This window comes from Homo sapiens, chromosome 3, assembly GCF_000001405.40.
Source record: "Homo sapiens chromosome 3, GRCh38.p14 Primary Assembly".
Taxonomy (NCBI): domain Eukaryota; kingdom Metazoa; phylum Chordata; class Mammalia; order Primates; family Hominidae; genus Homo; species Homo sapiens.
The window spans coordinates 186,635,969-186,655,705 of record NC_000003.12 but is presented as its reverse complement, the minus strand read 5'-3'; the positions used below and the strand labels follow the sequence as shown (position 1 = coordinate 186,655,705).

At 41.8% G+C, this 19,737-nt stretch overlaps 1 protein-coding gene and 1 long non-coding RNA gene across 11 annotated transcripts in view; one reads left to right on the top strand and one right to left on the bottom strand.

The window, feature by feature from the left end:
• HRG-AS1 (HRG and FETUB antisense RNA 1) overlaps positions 1-14,197 on the top strand; it is a 24,126-nt gene extending 9,929 nt beyond the window's left edge. For both annotated transcript variants that reach the window (NR_187317.1, NR_187318.1), the window contains exons 2-3: positions 13,578-13,752; positions 14,083-14,197. This is a non-coding gene — a long non-coding RNA (HRG and FETUB antisense RNA 1). The remainder of the gene's footprint in view (positions 1-13,577; positions 13,753-14,082) is intronic.
• On the bottom strand, positions 2,565-19,737 carry FETUB (fetuin B). 9 transcript variants are annotated; one of them, NM_001375587.2, is made up of 8 exons: positions 19,478-19,737; positions 15,021-15,246; positions 14,566-14,676; positions 13,148-13,235; positions 10,786-10,955; positions 9,357-9,458; positions 4,405-4,488; positions 2,565-3,443 (listed from the first exon to the last, which is right to left on the bottom strand). In NM_001375587.2, the coding sequence occupies exons 2-8, from the start codon at positions 15,243-15,245 to the stop codon at positions 3,075-3,077; spliced, it is 1,149 nt and encodes a 382-aa protein (NP_001362516.1). In that variant the 5' UTR covers position 15,246; positions 19,478-19,737; the 3' UTR covers positions 2,565-3,074. The 9 variants fall into 9 exon arrangements, with proteins under 9 accessions (NP_001362516.1, NP_001362517.1, NP_055190.2 ...); NM_001375588.2 differs by lacking the exon at positions 19,478-19,737 and having other exon boundaries at positions 15,017-15,307; NM_014375.3 differs by lacking the exon at positions 19,478-19,737 and having other exon boundaries at positions 15,021-15,307.

Here is a 19,737-nt window from a genome sequence, read left to right as displayed (position 1 = left end):
CAGCAGCAATGAATGAGAAGTTCCTTTTGCTCCATATCCTTGCTACCATTTAGTATTGTCAGTGTTCTGGATTTTGGCCATTCTGACGGATATGTAGTGATATCTCGTTGTTATAATTTGCATTTCTTTGATGACATATGAAGTTCACTGAAGTTCAGAATTTCAGATGTTCACTTACCTTTTTTTTTTTTTTGGTGAGGTTTAAATCTTTTGCCCATTTTTATTTTTATTTTTTTTAACTTCTATCTTAAGTTAATGGGTACATGTGCACATTTGTTATATAGGTAAACTCATGTCGCAGGGGTTTGTAGTACAGATTATTTGTCAGGCAAGTACTAAGCCTACTACCAAACAGTCATTTTCTTCTGACCCTCTCCCTCCTCCCACCCTCCACCCTTGAGTAGGTCCCAGTGTGTGTTGTTTCCCTCTATGTGTCCATGTGTTCTCATTATTTAGCTCCCACTTATAAGTGAGAGCATGCGATATTTGGTTTTCTGTTCCTGCATTAGTTTGCTAAGGATAATAACCTTCAGCTCCATCCATGTTCCTGCGAAAGACACGATCTCATTTTTTTTAAATGTTTTGCCCATTTTTAAATTGGGTTGCTCATTTTCCTATTGTTGAATATGTTCTTTTTAAACATTCAGCTGAGGTAACTCTTAATATTGTATAACTAGAAATACTCAGCTCCTGAAATTTTGTCGTAGAAGATTAGTGTTAGCAATTTGCAAACTACTGATGACTTGAACACAACAGCCTCAGATCAGTAATAAATGCAGCATTTTGCAACTATTGACAAGGATGCAGATTAGCTTGTCTGCACTGAGTCTGCAGAGTAAGAAAAAAAGATCAAGGACTGAAAGCCAGAGAAACAGCATCTAAGAGATGAGCCAGAGAAGAGGAGCCCAAGGTGGGATATGAGGGGGAGTGGTCAGAAAGCTAGAAGAAAAACCTGGAGGCTGTGGGACACAATCTCCTTGAAAAAATCTGAAGAGCAAGCAAAGTCAGCATTGCCAGATGCTTGAAAGTGTAAGTAAAAGTGAACAGAAATTTTTTTTTTAATTTAAAATAAAAGATTGTTAGGGAACACCAAGTCAGTGGGTTATGGGAAAAGAGATAGATTCACATTACTGTGACCTAAGGAATGAAGAGGTGGTGGGGAAGTGGCAAGCATGGGAACAATCTAGTTTTTCACGAATTAAGCCATGGAAAGACAAAGGAGGTGGTAGATAGAAGGAGAAACAAAGTCTGAGGCCCTTCCCCATCCTTTTACCAGTAGAGAAGGGCCTTATAGAACACCCCTTGGGAAACCCCAGCTAAGGCTCCTAATGGTTTCTCTCTGTTTGCCTCAGGCCCATCCTTTGATTTTCTCTGCCTGGTCTTGTCTCCCAGGCTGGCTCCAGGGAATTGAATAACCCAGGCTCTCCCTGCTGGCTAGTTTACCATTGAGTTCAAAGAGCCATTGGGAGGAGGAGATTGGAAGGAAACAGGAAGGGAGGGAGAGGGGAGGGTGCTTATTCCCTGCTCCTTCTCGTTCCAGCACCGGGTTCTGCAGGGGCTGCATCCCTCCACCAGGGCGGCTTCTGCAGGGCGGCTTCTCCACAGGATAGTTCCAACAGAGCGGGGAAGCTAGCCACTCCTGCTCCTGCTCAGCCTCGGGTGGCAAAGGCTGTCCAGGTGCCTCAGCATCCCTTGGCCTTCCCTTAGCCTGGGCAACAAGCCTTCACTAAAGGTCCCTTCACTGAAGTCTTTTTCTTTTTTTGAGATGGCGTCTAGCTCTGTTACCCATGCTGGTGGCGAACAGTGGCATTATCTCAGCTCACTGCAGCCTCCACCTCCCAGGTTCAAGCGATTCTCCTGCCTCAGCCTCCCGAGTGACTGGGATTACAGATATGTACCACCATGCCCGGCTAATTTTTGTATTTTTAGTAGAGACAGGGTTTCACCATGTTGGCCAGGCTGGTCTCAAACTCCTGACCTCCGGTGATCTGGCCGCCTCAGCCTCCCAAAGTGCTGGGATTACAAGCATGAGCCAGCACGCTGAGCCAACTGAAGTCTTTTTAGTTGAGCCACCTGAGTACAATTCTGCTTCTTTCAGACCCTGACCAACACGGTGTAAGACCCCACATGACACCCCCACATAATCACTTCCTTCTTATGAGAAGCAGATAAGAGGAACAGAGTGTGAACATTGTCTACGTCTCTTATGCAAATTATGCTGAGGCCTGTGTGCCTCTTCTAACAGCCACCAAGATAGAGGACAATAGCTGCATCTGCAAATTCTCTGTCAAAATGTCCAAAGTCTTATCTGCTGTGCATGTGTGCGTGTGCACATAGGTATCACTGAATGAGGGGAAATTGGCCCTGCAGTGTTTGAAAGAAGGAAAACGTAGACTGTAATTGAATGCTGTGATGAGCCCTCCTCTAACTGTCCTAGAGAAATTGTAACAGTGATGAGAACTGTCACGGTCTGCTGCTCCCACAGTGTCTAGCACAGGCCACATGTGCACTTCCCTTCTATGTGCCTCCAGCTCTAAGTGAATTACCCCACTGTTGAGACCTGGAGACTTCCAGACAGATGAAAAGAGGTAGAGGGTTGGAAATGGTATGGGCCCTACGCAGCTAATACCTGTCCTGGAATTAAAGGGAATTTAGGGACTGAAACTGTGCTGGGCATTAGTTGCTCACGCCTCCCGGTGTTAGGGAAAGTATCTTTACTCATGCAATGCTTTCATGCTGAGATTTCAGCACATATATACTGCTGAAAAGATAAGTATCTTTATAAGTGAGTGGCTGAAGACATAAGAGAGGCATCTCTCCATGGTATGAGACTGCTCAGTTTAGGAGGTGATGCAGCTCAGGGTACAAGGCAGTGTACAGGGTAGAGTGCAGCCCAAGCCGAGGGCTCAGTCTCATTATTTCCAATCCCAGTCAACATGCTGAGACCAAGAAGAGTCAAAAAGGCGTCCTTCACTAGCCACTCTACGTGTGCACGCTCTGTCTCTGTCCATCGTCCCCATCGCCTCCCATGTCATGCGGCGCACCATACCCCTACAGAAGACTCTGTGTGATTCTCATGGCGGAAGGACAAGAGGGCTGGCATTCTGGGCTGGCCCTGGGCACTCAGCAGTGCGTGCTTTTTCTTTGGGGAAAGGCAGGACCACCAGCTTCTCCTCCATAGGCTCCAGGAAGAGGAAGGAAATATCCAGGGTTTCTCCCTGGGGATTCGTGGTTAGGTCCAGATGCACAGGAAAGGCCTCCTGAGGGCCCTTTTCCTGGGAATTTTTATCATCCAAGTCAGGAAGATATTGGACAGATCCTCTTGGCCCAGCTTTGGAGGGGGAGTCTGTTGGGGGGGTGTTTTTCTGCTGGGATTCTTCCACCTTGGGAAGGTTTGTAGGTTTCTGGTTAACAGCAGAGTTTTCACTTCCAGTGGCTGGAGCCTGGAATGAGAACATTTTTGAATGTAGAGTTCCACAGGGAAAGTCCTCCCATGCCTAGTACCAGCCTAAGCTGATCTGTGCCTTTCTGTTGGAACATTTCAAAGGGAGACTAGGTAGAGGGATGGGCCTCCTGGTGAAAGGGTTAAAAAACAAAACAGATAAGGGCCAGGGGGAACCAGGACCTGTAGAAGCTTGACTGTGAGACTGTAAGTCTCACAATTTCAGAGCTGAATAATGGCCCAGAGAGGTTCAATGACTCACTCGAAGTCTCCAGCAAGCTCTCTTTCTGTTCCCAGTAGTGGAAGCAGCAGGTGCCTTTCCTTGCTTGTTTATTCTGCACCAGGCCTTGTACAGCACCCTTCATTCAGGTCCTTTCACTTGCTTCTCACAGGGATCTGAATGATGCAGTGTCGCAATCCCATTTTATAAATGAGGCAACCAAAACTCGAACAGGTAAGTGTGTGCCTGTTACACAGCTCACAGGTACCAGAGCAAAACTGGATCCCAAGTGTCCTGTTTCAACTGCTTCAAATATACCAGGCACAAATACACCTCAAATATAAACTGCCTCTCAAATATACCAGGCTACCTTATAATAAGTGCGCAATAAACACTTCTGGAAAGGGATTGAATATTTTCATGGAAATAACTTCTCCCTGTGGCTTGAGGTAAGGTTTCTTTGGGACGCTGAATTTAATGTCTCAGAGGCTTGAATCACATCCAAGCCAGCAGTTCCCTGTTTCTGAATTTGTCTTGCTTATTCTGCAGGACCATATTGCGACTGAAACAAGGCATAACAGGTCTTTGACTGGCTATCCTGTGGATGTGGACTCAGGCTAGCCTGCGCAAAGTGGTGAGCAAGGTGGTTGGGAAAATCAAAGGAGGGGGTAAGGTAGTGGCAGGTAACTATCGATAATCTGCTCTTCTTCACAGAAAGACAGGCAATTAGATTGAAAAATACCTGTGATTCAAAGAAGTCACAAGTCACAGAGACAAACTTTTCCCAGTGTGTTCGAGTCAGAGAACCTTTGCAAAGACCAACAGGCTAAAAGAGAAAATACAATGTCATGTGAGTATTACCAGTGATCACAGATGGAAATCAACTAGCTTTCTACTTGTGTAGATACACAGCCAATCAACATTTTTATGCTTCTACTATGTAACAGGTAGACTCTGAGTCAATTCTTTCTAGATCACCCCTACCAAGAAATCATCCAAATTAGGCTAAATTGCCTCCAATAATGAGAAACTCAGTATTTCTTGAGGAATGAAACTCTGTTTGTTAAAAAAATTCTTTGTGTTGAGTGGAAAGTTATGTCCATACAACTTCTACCTCTTGGCCTTAGTTCTACCCTTGGGTCAATTAGAAAACGTGTTTTCATCTTTTATATAGCAGCCCTTTAAGTGCGTTCCACCTGACATTTCTCTTCTCAGACAAAACCACTCTCAGCTCCTTAAATTTCTCTTTACTTAAAAGTAAAGTAGCTTTGTTTCCTTATTACAAATGTAATAGTTAGAATATAGATAAACAAAAGAAAATAAAGACCTGTAAATTGCATGAAATATATTTGTTACCTGCAGTGATTTGATTTCCTTCCTTCCAGTCTTTTTTTCTATGCATATACATTTTTCTTCTACAAAATAGAGTCATATTATATATATATTACTTTATAACTCTATTTTGTCACTTAACAATATATTGTAAAAACCCTCTTATGGCATTGAATGATCTTCTAGGGTTTTTAAAATAATGGCTACATAGTATTCCTCTGTGATGTTTAACAAGCTCTCTTTTGTTGGACAGCTAGATTGAATCTAATTTTTCTGTTGTTTAAACATTGAAGCTATATCTTTTCATGTATTCCTAGTTACTTCCTTAGAATAAATTCCTAGAAGAGGAATTTTAGAGTCATACTGTATGTACATTTTCAAGCATAAATAGAATGTTATAATAAAATGTTGCCTCAATTTCTAAAGAAGAGCTCTTAAGTATATCCACATAAAATTTACTAAATTTATCTAAAAATAAACTAAAAATAGAACTACCATTTGATCCAGCAATCCCACAGCTGGTGATTTACCCCCCCCCCCCACCCCCGCCAACAAAGAAACTACTATAAGAAAAAGACAACTGCACTTGTATATTTATCACAGCACTATTCATAATAGCAAATATGTGAAGCCGATGTTGTGTCCATCAATGGATGGTTAGATTAAAATGTGATGTGCATGTGTGTGTGTGCACACACACACACACCCATGGAATACCACTCAGCTATAAAAAAGAATAATACCATGTCCGTTGCATCAACATGGATGGAACTGGAGGCCGTTATTCTAAGTGAAATGACTCAGAAACAGAAAGCCAAAAACCACATGTTCTCACTTAAAAGTGGAAGCTAAAGAAAGGGTATACATGGACACAAAGTGGAGTAACAGACACTGAAGACTCCAAAAGGTGAGAGGGTGGTGAGGGATGAAATATCATCCTGAGCTGGGCGCAGTGGCTCACGCCTGTAATCCCAGCACTTTTGGAGGCTGAGGCAGGAGGATCACTTGAGGTTAGGAGTTCGAGACCAGCCTGGTCAACAGGGTGAAACCCTGTCTCTACCAAAAATACAAAAATTAGCCAGGTGAGGTGGCAGGTGCCTGTAGTCCCAGATACTTGGGTTGTTGAGGCAGGAGAATCGCTTGAACCCAGGAGGTGGAGGTTTGCAGGAAGCTGAGATTGCGCCACTGTACTCCAGCCTGGGCGACAGAGCAAAATTCTGTCTCAAAAAGAGAAAAAAAAACAAAAAACAAAAACCACCCTGAATACAATGTACACTATTTGGGTGATGGATACACTAAAAGCCCAGACTTCACCGCTATGCAATATATTAATGTAAGAAAACTGCACTTGTATCCCTAAATCTACAAAAAGAAAAAAAGTGTCTAAACAGATTGCCTAAATATTACTTTGTCACTCAGCTCCAGAGCATATGAAAAAAAGACTAGAAATTCCTTAAAGTGGGAAAAGCCATTAAAGTATGAAGTGTCTGGGGAATGGTGCTTCAGCCTTTTCCTTCTCTTCATCACCAAGTCACAAAGAGGAGGGGCTCTCAGAGAACCTTCTGGAGAAACTGCAGGTACTTGCACCAAGGAGATCTGGCCACTCCCACCCTAGCTAGGATTTGCTGAGCTACCAAAGTTCATAGGCCTACCTGGCGCTGACACTGGAGTGGATCACAAAGGGACTTTATAAGTGTGCTGAACATGTGAGCCCTAGAGGCTGGGAACACATGTGGCATCCAGATTTAAAAGGGAGAAGTAAAAAGCTATCTCTTTTCAGGTGACATGATCATATAGAAAATCCTAAGAAATCCACTAGCAAACTATTAAAACTAATAAATGAGTTCATCAAGGTTATAATATATAAGATCAATATAAAAAATCAATCGTCTTTCTACACACTTTCAATGAACAATCCAAAAATGAAATTAAGAAGACAGTTTCATTACATAAGCATCAAAGAGAACAAAATATTTGAAGAGTAAATTGACCAAAATAAATGAAAGTTTTGTACACTGAAAACTACAAAACTTTGTTGAAAGAAATTAAATGAGTTCTAAACAAATGGAAAGATACCACATATTCATGGAATTGAAAACTTAATATTGTTAAGATGACAGTACTTTCAACGTTGATGTACAGATTCAATGCAATCAAATGTATCAAATTTCCAACTGCCTTTTTAAAAATAGAAATTGACAAACTGGTCCTAAAATCAGCATGAGAATTCAAGGCATCCAGGATACCCAAAGCAATCTTGAACAAGAAGAACAAAATAGGAGGATTTAAATGTTCCAATCTCAAAACTTACTACAAAGTTATATAGTATTCAAGACAGTGTTATACCAGTATAAGCTTAGAAGTGTAGATCAATGGAATAAAATTGAGATTAAAGAAATAAACTCTTACATTTATGATCAATTGATCTTCAAGAAGTATGCCAAGGCAACTACATGGGGGAAAGAATAGTCTTTTTAACAAATAGTGCTGGAAACAGTGGAAGTTCACATGCAAAAGAATGAAGTTGAACTCCCTGCCTCACACCGTGTACAAAAACTCAAAATGTGTCATAGGCCTACATATAGGGGCTTATTTCTTTACTTTCAATTTTATTCTATTGATCTACATATCATTCTTATACCACCAAGACACTGTCTTAAGTACTGTACCTTTGTAGTAAGTTTTGAGTTTGGGAAGTATGTCTTCCTATTTTTTTGTTGTTGTTGTTGTTCAAGATTATTTTGGCATTCTGGATCCCTTGCATTTTTACACATGTAAATCTTGGTGATTATGGATTAGGCAATGGTTTCTTAGATATGACATTAAAAGCATATTCAAAATAAGAAAAAATATATATAAATAGAACTTCATCAAAATTTAAAACTTCTGTATTTCAAAGAACGTTGTCAAGAAAGTGAATAGACAACCCAGAGAATGACAGAAAAATACTTAAAAATATATATCTGATAAGGACATTGTATCTAGAATATGTAAAGACTCTTATTATTCAACAATGAAAAGATAAGCAACTGGATTTTAGGTAGGCAAATGATTTATGTAGACATTTTTCCAAAGAAAACATACTAATGGATAATAAACACATTAAAAGACGCTCAGCATCATTAGTTATTAGGAAAATGCAAATAAAAATCATGATGAGGTACCAATTCATGCCCAGTAGGATGGCTATAACCAAAAGAAAGATCATAATAGGTGTTGGCAAAGATGTGGAGAAATTGAAACCCTCATACATTGCTGATGGGATTGCAAAACTGATGCATTCACAGTGGAAAACAGTATAGCAGTGAAAGGGTTAAACATGGAGCATTTTTTTGTTGTTTTTCATATGACAAAAACTCCACTCTGAGGTATATACTCGAGAGAAATGGAAACATATGTGTACATAAAAACTTGTACACTTGTTCATAGCAGGAAACAACTCAAATGTTTATCAACTGATAGATGGATAAACAATAAACAATATCTATGCAATAAAATATTATTTGCATAATAAATTATGCAAAGAGGTAAAACTACATTTATTTATAGATGGAGAAGCTTTGAGAACACTATGCTAAGTGAAAGAAGCCAGATACAAAAGACCATATGCTGTATGATTCTATTTATATGAAATGTCCAGAATAGGCAAAGCCATAGAAACAGAAAGTAGGTAAGTGGTTTCCAGGGGCTTGGTAAGGTGGCAATGGGGAATGACTGTTAGTGGGCATGAGGTTTCTTCTGAGGCTGATGAAAATATCCTAAAATAAGAAAGTGGTGATGGTGGCACAACTCTGTGAACATACTAAAAACTACTGAACTGTACACCTTAAATGGATGAATTTTACAACGTATGAATTATTTCTTAATAAAGCTGTTACTGTAAGTAAATGAGAGGAAAAGTATTTTGGTGCATTTTGCCCAGTTGCACTCCAACACATTGTGCCAAGTTAAATTCCCACCAGGTGTATTTCAGATGACTTCAAGGCATACTTTCCCTCTTGGATGCCTCTTTGAATGAAGGCCTATTTGACTTTGTCCTTCTTAAAGAGTGGTCCAAGGAATGGAACACCATGCTATATTACAAACGTAATTGGATTGTGTTAGACTGAAGCAGGGCCATTACCCATCACTGAGATGTCTATATTTTACAGCTCTATATAATCACTTTTGCAACTACTGATGAAAGTTGCACTTACAATTGAATGCAGTCTGGATCTGTCTAATCTCTAACTAGTCAGATGCTCCTTGAGGGGAAGAAAAGCATCTCATGCCTTATGACACCTCATATGTAATTTATGCTCCACAAACACTTAGAGATGATCTGTGAACACTCAAATTATGAAGACATTCAGGAAAACTCACCACAGAGTCGGAGGACTGAAGTGAACAGCTGCTGGCCTGGGATTTAGTACATGGTGATTCTTTAATTAAGTATTCCACAAAGTAAGAAGGGCCGACCACCCACTGTTATGAGACAAGAGTTGAGACATAAAAATCAAACATTTCTGCCTAGGGAAAAGACTCAGGTTTGGCAGCGTTATATCTACAGAAACAATATGTCACCAGAGGCATTGTCAAGGCACATATCTGTTGTTCCGCAAATCCCCACACTGATCAAACCATGTACCATGATTTAGTTATTAAGAAAACATAATCTCACACCTTTCTTCTCTTCTTTAAGATTTGAGGCTGGGCACGGTGGCTTACGCCTGTAATCCCAGCACTTTGGGAGGCCGAGGCGGGCGGATCACGAGGTCAGGAGATCAAGACCATCCTGGCCAACATAGTGAAACCCCATCTCTACTAAAAATACAAAAATTAGCTGGGCATGGTGGCGCATGCCTGTAATCCCAGCTACTCGGGAGGCAGAGGCAGGAGAATCCCTTGAACCAGGGAGTTGGAGGTTGCAGTGAGCCAAGATCGCGCCACAGCACTCTATCCTAGCGATAGAGTGAGACTCCGTCTCAAAAAAAAAAAAAAAAAAAAAAAAGATTTGAATGGGCCCTAAACACCTTCTTTTGATTTGTTTATTTTTCCTCATGTAGAATTGTCTTTTAGATTTTTCTGCTTATGAAAGAAATATCGGCCAGGTATAGTGGTTCATGCCTGTAATCCTGGCACTTTGGGAGGCCAAGGCGGGTGGATTGTTTTGAGTCCAGGAGTTTGAGACCAGCCTGTGCAACATAGTGAGACCCAATCTCTACAAAAAATATAAAATTAGCCAGGTGTGGTGGTATGCACCTGGAGTCTCAGCTACTTGAGAGGCTGAGGTAGGAGGACTACTTGAGTCCACCCTGGGTGACAGAGTGTCTCTGTCTCAAAAAATAAAAAGAAAGAATGAAATAGAGAAAGAAGGAAAGAAATCAACATAATCTAAATACAAATGAGCCTTCATTTTCCCTAATCCATAAAATTCAACACCCACTCTGGTCTTAAAATAGAGTAAAAGTTATGTTGTAAAATGGTCCACGATCAGTCACATTTGAGAATACAGCAGTGAGTGGTGAACGTATGGATAATCCCCCAAGGAGACTAGGAGTTCATTTCTGTTCTTGCCTTAAGGTTAGGGAAGCAAAATCAAGCCGCCTGACTCTTGTAGAAATGCCATGGAATCACTTAGAAAGTGAAACATGATAGAATGGGCATCAGGTCTATCAAAGTGGGGAAAGTAGAGAAAGGTATTTTGGTTCTAATCAAAATGAGTGCCTTGACATTTTCCTCCCAGCTTAGGAACCTACAGCAACAGTTATGAGACACACTGTGTAACTGGCTTGGGCAGTTTTAGCCTTACCTGGCTAGAAGCCCTGGTGACTTTGAAGAGAGAATACTGCTTGGATGTGTTCTCATTGTTGTATTTCGCAAGAGACTCGGTGGCAGCCTCCAGCACTTGGTGATTGGAAGAGTCAGTGGGTATGGAGCTTGGGCAGTCAGGGCACGTCATGTAAATCTTTTTTTTTGAAACTGTTGATGCCAATAACATAAGTTTTTAAATGCTATTAATTTTCAATAAATCATATGACTGTAAAGAGGCAAGGATGGGGTGAGGAAGTTACCTCTGGAATATACCCCTGGAATAGAAGTTAGCTGTCAGCAGTGTTTTCTGTAATGACCATGTATTACTTTCACAATTAAAAAAGAGACCAGAACAAAGCAAAGTTTTCACCTCACACACATTTACTCTGAGAATTTTGTTCAAAGACACATAATATAGTATATTAAAATAGGACCTTTTCCTCCAACTAGTTCACTATCTTTTCTCATTATTGACCCTGTAAAGTAGACTGTCTTCAGAGATTGGGATTTCATTACCGCAATATCTTATTTACCTTTCAGTTCCTAACACCGAACATCATATCTGATACATAGGCAGTGCTTAGTAAATGCTTGTAGAATGAATGGATAAGTGAATGGCATAGTAGAAGGCAGAAGCGCACCCCGTTTGGTTAGAAATGCAAGTGAGATCTGTCAAAGGATACAAAATTACAGCTAGATAGGGGGATAAATTCTAGTGTTCTGGACCACTGTAGGATGACTACAGTTAACAATAAGATAAAATTTCAAATAGCTAGAAGGGTATTGAATGTTCCCGACACAAGGAAGTGATAAAGGTTTGAGATGATGGATATACTAATAACCTAATCCGATCACAATACAGTATATATATGGAAATATCACTATATATGCCATAAATAGGTATAACTATTATTTATCAATAAAAAATAAGACTAAATATTTTTTTAAGAAGAAAAATGCAAGTGAGCCAGAAAACAAAATGGGTCAAGTCACTGTGTGACTGAGTAGAATGATCACATTAAGTACAGTCAGATTTCTGTTTGGGAGGAGCTGAGGTCAATAAGCCTAGTGTGAAAGTCAAGGTACAGAATTTATCTTGAAGCTGCTTTTGCAGAGCAAACACATTGTTTTTAGAAATTTTGTGTTTATCTGCATGCACTTGGGGACTGGTGGAGATAATGGGGGACTTCCAGCTACAGCTTGTCACTCCTGAATCATCACCACCTGTCACTTCCTGACCTCCCATAGCTCTGATACTTATGACTTCCATTTAAGTCCTGAGACTGTTTACTACTTGCTGTTCTGTGAATCTTGCCTTCACAACCAGGAACCTTAAACTGTGCCTAACAAAATGTTTGCTCGCTTGCCTTGTTATTCAAAGCAACCAGCAGCATTCTTATCTCCTGGAGCTTATTAGAGATGCAGGATCTCAGGTCCTGACCAAGACCTGTGGAATCAGAATCTACACTTGCACAGGATCCACCAGGGGAGCGACACGCACGTAGTTGTTCGACAGGGGACCAAATTCTGTTTTCCTGCACTGTGGATGCTCTCTTTCCAAAGACCTTCCCTTGAAAAAAGGAAGGTCCCAAATGAATGCATGTGCATATTTCAAGTGTCATTAAGTTTCAGCCTCATTTCTAGTCCAATTATTTACTTAACAACATTATTGACACCTTCTACTTGGTGGGAACTGAGGAAGGGTGCAGCAGGAGGAGGAAAGGAGAAACTATTCTACATGATGTAAGATATGCGACCCTCAAATCAAGGCAGTGCATTATGTGTTCCCTGAGTAGTTTAGACAAAATTTTATAGGAATGCAGATTACAAAAGCACCATTCCTTTCTAGAATAGAGAACACTGTGGAAGAAGTGGTGTTGGTCCTTAAAGAATAGGTGTGTCCCAAGGTCAGAGGTCATCAGGGGAGGGCATGCTCAGCAGAGGGAGAGGCACAAGCAAGACACAGAGACTGGAAATTGCAGTGCATGTTCAGAAAACAGGGTGGCATCCAGTAGAATGGAGTGAAGAGTTGGTGTAGTCTGGGAAATAATGGCAGAGATAGCAAGAAAGGAAGCCTGAGGGAACAGTCATAGAAATTATACCATTTATGTCAGACTGAAAATGTAAGATCTGATGCAGCATATAAATGTAGAGGTAGTTTAGTAAGATTAATTGTGGGAAGAGGAGCAGTATAGTATGAATTTCAGTAAGGAGGTAAGTACTGGAAATATTAAGAAACTGGCATTAAGAATAAACAGAAAATAAGAATGAGAGATACCCTATACATTCTTGGCAAAGACCTGGTTAAGTACTCTTTTCCATCCTTTATTAAAACTAACAAAATCGTAGTGATTTCTTACCTGGGCGAAGAGTACAGTTATAAGCAGCTAAATAGAGAACTCTACTTGGGTTGTTCATATAAAATATTGCTTTGCATTGACCATAAACCTGAAACCAACAAATGCATTTTATGACATAGCGAATGCAACTATGAGCTTTTAAAATACCTCCAAAATTAAAGTCAGACATTTTCTTTTAAAGTAGTTAGAAACTTAAGATCAAATTCTGTGGTTTTGGCTGGGAGGAACTGCAGTTGATGATCAAACTGTTTAACCTTTCCCTAGGACACAGCTAGAATATGTTTCCAAGCCTCCCCAACACGTGTGACTGTGTATAATTGAGTTCTAACCACAGGAAGGTGAGCAGAAGTGAGGTGTAACCATTTCCAGATCTGGCTCATAAGGGTCTCCCACGTTCTCACTGTCCTCTATGCTCTTTCTCTGTGCACAGCTTGATGCAGATGAGCAGGTAACCATGGAAGTCGTGAGCTGAGGCTGCAGAGTCTAGAGCCAGAGTGTGGAATAAACTTGGGTCTCAAATCACCCCTGGAGCAAAGCACCCATCTAATCAGGAACTTCTACTTTCAACTTTACATGCGTGAGAAATGAACTTCTATCATGTTAGAGTGAGTATACAGTTTTTGTGTCTGTGTTTTAGTAGCTAGTGTCACCATAACAAATATAATTCACAACAGGATATTCACTTTTCAAAATCAAGTTGGGTACAGTTTGACCAATTGGCTACATGATTAGGAAAATATCTTGATCAAATAGTTTTCTTCTAAACACTTACATCACTATTCTGTACTCACACTGTAAAGTTTTATATCAATTACTGAAAATCATCCCAGGATAATTAAGAATGAAATGAAATGGATTATCTATTTTCAAGTCTCTTCTATGATCATCTTTAGAAGATTAATTCTGAGGCCCTTTATTATGCTCTGTGGTTTCAGGAAATCCTTACACGGCGCCCTTGAGAGCTTTCATACTGCAAGTCATCCATTTTCCTCCCCTCAAACCTGGCATCGGAGTTTATTGAAACAAAGCAAAATAAAACAAATAGACAAAGCTCTACCTCCATCACTTCTGCAGTCTACATTAACCCCACGTCCAGAATATTCACACCTCAGGTCTTTTTCTCACAATTGAAACACTGGTTCAGAGCCTAACGGAAGGTCTTGGAGGTAAAAACACAACTTGGGGCAACTTTTCCATTCTGTTCTGCATGACCCCAATGGGACTTCTCAGAAACCCCTCTCATGAATTAAACTTTGTTCTGTCTAGAGCATTAGAATAAGCTTATGGGCACCTGCCAGGAGATTATAAAGTGGGCCATTTAAAAGATGACAGATATTGAGCACCCTTGACCCTGTAGAAAGAGTGTACCTACTTGCTTTCCCTAGGGCCCTTAATGGTTTATAAAAACAAGCACTCACTGATTCAAAAAATATCCTCATTCCACAGTCTTGCCATGCCTTCTTTCTGAGCACATGGCAGTCAGTCTCTAGCACATCCAGTGTAAGATAGAACAGAGATCCCAGGCCACCCTGTGGGAAGGGGTAGAGAAATGCAATACATTTCACAGGAAGTAGAAACCTAGAAAGACCACACAAAAAAACCCCTGCTTTATGGCAAAGCCAAAGAATATTTGTGAAGATTCCCCGTAAACCATTAAATCTGACACAAGTGTCAGAGTAGGATCACTGTTAACACTTGTTTTTACTAACAATAAGTGCGTTGTTGCTGACCCTGGCAGAGGAGAACAGAGAGTTCTCGGCAGGGCTTCCAATACAGAAAACACCTGCCAGGGTGTCTCTGGGTTCCCTCACCCTGGCCAGTCTCTCCAGCTTGCCCACATCCCTGCCCCAGAGTGGGAACTGTCCCTACTTGCCCGTCTGTATTCCTGGGCGTCGTTCACTCGGTTGAGTCTCAGCACATAGCCATCCTTTCTGTCTTTGTTAATATCCCGCAGGGCAAAGCCTGCAACTGCCAGCACATCTGAGTCATTGCAGCCCCGGGAGAGCAGAGCCGAGGGGTTGAGGGCCAGCTGGGGTGGAGACATTGCTCCGCAGCACAGGACTAGGATGCAGAGTGCCAGGGGAAGGAGCAGACCCATTCTGTGGAGAACAAGGCCCAGGATGGGTCAGTTTGTGGAGCTGCAGGGACTGGCTGGCTTGTAAGGCTCTTTAAGGCAGACTTGAGCGGTTTTGTTACAACTGGAAGGGCTAACCAAGTTCACCTTGAATTCTGAACTTGGATTTTCCTAAGTCAGTACTTTGGATAGCATTTCCCAATGATTCTAACCTTAGACCCTTGAGCAACCTCATATCCACCTGTACATACAAATGAATTTAAGTTTCCCAACTGTTTCCTGAGAAATCATAACATTTGTTCAAGGCTCTTATGATTAGATTCTGATTTGCAGGTCCCCTCCTGAATAGGAATATGGAGGACTGTCCCATTCTCCCCCTCTCCCCTAACACCTTTGCTGTGGAGGTCTCCTTGGCCACTCTAATAGTTATCTTATGTCCCAGTGGTGCTTGGTGAATTCAGACTTCCTGGCTGACACTCTGTGTGCAAAGCCCTTGTTAGATCAGGGAGGTAGTTGAACCCCACAGTCATCTGCCAGAAGCACAGTTGAGATTCCTTAAGCACTTTGGCCATCTGGGTGGAAAATGTTCTACTTATCATCATTTAAGTTATTTTTAAACAATGACTTTACTTAAGGGGAAAAAGTCAAAGAGATATAAAAAGTTCTCACATTGTATTTCAAGCCTATTCTTCCTTTTATGCATATGTATGGAAGCAAGCTCATTAAGAGACTAAAGCCCCATACTCTTGCTAAAAGAAAGATACTGAAGGGCAGGTGGGTGGCAACACATTGGTTGGGACTCTTGCCTTCTTTTTTTTTTTTTTTTTTTAGCTTCTATTTGTGATTCAGAAAGGTTCTACTTATTGGGACCATACAAAAGACAATTATCTTTTAAAAACTGTATTTCAACAAAAAACACATATCAGCAGTAGTTTGTCATGAGAGAAAAGAGACAAAATGGGAAAGAAGCCTCTAGAAGAGGTTATCATGAAGGGCATTCTATAAAGCCCTAGTCCATGAGGTGAGTAACCACCCCCTAACTCTCTCCCTACTCCTAGCCCTTCTCTTCCTTCCTGTCCCTGTCCAAGGATTCTGCATTCAAATAAGTTTAGGAACTGCTGAATCCTTCTGTGTGCTTGCTGGTACACAGTGGTGGCTATTGTGTAATGCTGAGAGGATTATCCTATCCTGATGAGGGCTCCACCCTCATGAATGGAATATGCCATTATCTTGAAAGTGAGTTCCTGATAAAAGGATGTGTTTGGTCCCCTTCTCTCTTCCTTTCACCTGTGTGATGCCTTCCACCATGTTATGATGTAGCATGAAGGCTCTCAGCAGGTATAGCCCCTCGATCTTAGACTTCCCAGCCCCCCAAACCATGAGCCAAAGTAATTTCTGTTCATTATAAATTCCCTGGTCTCTGATATTCTGTTATAACTACATAAAACTAACTGAGGCACAGCCCTAATTAATTTCTGGAGAGAAATAGTTTTTGAGGATTGATTGAAAAACCCAAATCTAAAGATCCCAGCTCTGTGGATGTGGGCTGTAGGCATTGTTTTCAAATAGGAACGATACTAGCAAAATGGGTACAGAAACCAGACATTCAGATTCTGGGGCACAACAAAGGTTTAGCTTCAGCCAGTGAGGAGACAAACATTCATTGAGCTTGAGCAACGTACAGAAAGAGGTTGAGAAGGATCTGGGGCCTGAGGATGCAGAACAAAGAGGAGGAGAATGGTCTGGGACCTGAGGAATATATTAGACTTATATAGGTGAAGGCCATGAGTGCAACTAAAATAAAAGGCAGGACTCAAACAGATAAAAAGATCCAATAACATGGAAATCGTGCACCACCACTTATGCACCTGGGTTTCAACCCAGTCTCAAACAACCTGAGCTGGCCTTCTCCTAGGCTGTGGAGTATGGGAGCCCTGGGAGAGGAAGCAGGGGAAGAGTCCAGCCTTTGGTGTCAGGCAGTCTTGGGTTTAAATTCCACCTCTTCCACTGCACGGTAAGAGGGCCTGTGACACTGGGTGTGCCACACAGCATTTTGTTTCCTTATTCATAAAACAATGGCACTCCCAGCATATGTATACATGCACAGTTGCACCTGCCTGTAGAAAGAGAATAGAGTTCCTCTTTCCCTAGAAGCCCAACCCAGGTACACTTGTGTTTGGTTCCCATCACATATGGGAACAACTTTAGTATCAGCATGGAAGTTAAATTTCTGCTCAGGAGTGAAGAACAAGGCTGTGGAGATAGATCAATCTAGGTTTTGTTGAATCCAGTGTGTCTAATAGAAATACAATGCAAGTTACATATTTAATTTTAAAATTTCTGGTATCTGCATTCGAAAAGTAAAAAGAAACAGATGATATTAATTTTAACAATATTTTGCTTAACCTGTCAATCCAAAATATTATAATTTCAATATGTGATTAACATAAAAATTATGAAAGGCACAGTTTACATTCTTTGTTTCACACTATGGCATACCCCAATTTGGAGTAGCCACAGTTAAGACGCTCAAGAGTTGCATGTGGGTACCTTATCAGACAGCCCAGGTCTAGCTCTTGGGAGCCTCAGGCTCCTCCCATGTAAAAGGAAGGTAGCAGGATTCTCCATCTCCTGAGGTTGCAATATGGACTTATCACAGGGGAAGTATGCAAAGGTGCTTAGCACAGCCCTGGTGCACAGGACGTCCAGAGACAATGTCCAAGGACAGCTGTCAGTGCTGTGACTGTACCCTGTGGTCCTCACTTTGTCTCCCACGGTGCAGATTCTTATGTGACTCTGCCAGTGGCCTTTTTCTGGTTACACTTGAATGGATGCATCGCCAGGTGAACCAGGTTGGGAGAAACAAGGCTGATTTTCCCTGAGTGAGGAGGGAGAGGCAGGGGGCTCCCTGGCCTGCCCACCTCCTGACACAGGTGTGATCCAGGGCAGTGACTTAGGATTATTGATTTGAGAACAGGGAGAGATCAGACAGGTGAGACATTGTTGGCTGCAGAGCTGAGAGAGACACAGCACACGTGATTAGGCATCTGGGGAATTAGAAATCTAGGTACCAAGTCTTGGCCTAAGGGGACAGGATGTGTACTTAGCAAAACTGGACGGCAGCCATGGCTCCAAAATACCAGGTGGGAGCTGCCTGGTACATGATGGTCTCTACAGCTAGTTGCTGTGTTTCTCTCTCTCTTCCCTTTCCTCCCTTTATCTTTTCTTCCTTCCACAAACACTGAATGAACATCTCCTCCAACCACTGCCAAAGCCCGGCACTATATATGAAACTGATATTTCTCAGTGTGTGCCCAGCCCTGTGCTAAACACTCTGTGTTCCTTCTCTCATGTAAGCCCATGACCAACCGAGGCCTGTAGGTGCCACTATTATTCCCATTGTACAGATAAGGAGGCTGAGGAACAGAAAGGTTACATTGCCTGCCTGAGGTCTTACAGCCAGGGTTTGCATCCAACCTATGTGGCTTCAGAGAAGAAGGCATGGTTCTTGCCCTCAAGGAGTGGATGCTAGGAACGCACCAAGGGGAGAAACTAGTTCTACTGGGGAAGTCAAGACAGGCTTCCTAGAGGGGGTAACATTCACTCTGGAGCTTGAAGGAAGAACAGAGTATGCCTGAGGCACAAGGCAGGGAGCGTATTTAACAGAGCGTTCACTTTTCCTGCAGGAGCTGTAAAGGCGAAAACTGTAAATCACGTCGTTTACTTTCTATGTCCTTGCAACTTTCGCAGCTGTCTCCTCTGTCATTGGGATAGTATTTGCTGCTCCCAAACCACCTGCTAGCCTCAGGGCTACCTTGTGGCAGTTTCTCCTTGACTCCTTCCTGAAGTATCCTATGTTTGGAATCTCCCTCTTCCTCTTACTTTTATCAGCCATATTTAGACAATGTGTGGAAAAAAATCAAAATGTTTAGAGAACACTTTTCGGAATCAAAAATATTCTTAGGGCAAATCTGCCTTATAGCATCAAAAGTGGGATTTCCTCCACAAATCCCTATGGCGGTATGGCTAAGAGCACAGGGGTTCAAATCCCAGCTCCGCCACTCATCAGGTCTGTCCAAGGATGTGTTTCTCACATTCTCTGAGGCTACAGCTAATCCACAGGATGGACGTGAAGACCAGGGGAGATTTTATACACTAAGTGCCTGGCATGCAGTTTGCCCTTAGTACCTCACCAAAGAAATTCTAAAAGATAAGAAGGGGGCAGGTAGGATCTTCAAGCCATATCTCATACTCACAGTTGTGCTGGTTTATGAAAAGATGTCAAGGATGCTGTAGGCGCAGTCCTCTCAGGGAAGCAGCTCCCGAGCCAGGGCCTCAGCTTTGCCAGTCACACCTTCAGGGTTCCTGAGGACCCAGAGTTGTTCAGGCCTGGGGGTGAGTATACTGACCCTATGCATAGGCAACTGATACATAAGCCAGCAGCCGGTTTGTTAATTTGTACTGGAGACTGATGCCTCTCCTAGTGGCTCTCCAGCAGGGCTGGACAAATGCTGAC

Bases quoted from the DNA above. Each gene is read 5' to 3' on its own strand.
- FETUB (NM_001375587.2), bottom strand. From the start codon at position 15,245: ATGGGTCTGCTCCTTCCCCTGGCACTCTGCATCCTAGTCCTGTGCTGC. The intron at 14,677-15,020 runs GCAAGTAGGGAC...CCCTTCCCACAG, and splicing joins ACGCCCAGGAATACAGACGG to GGTGGCCTGGGATCTCTGTT. The intron at 4,489-9,356 runs GTGAGTTTTCCT...TTTCTCTTTTAG, and splicing joins TTCAGTCCTCCGACTCTGTG to CCTGTTGGTCTTTGCAAAGG.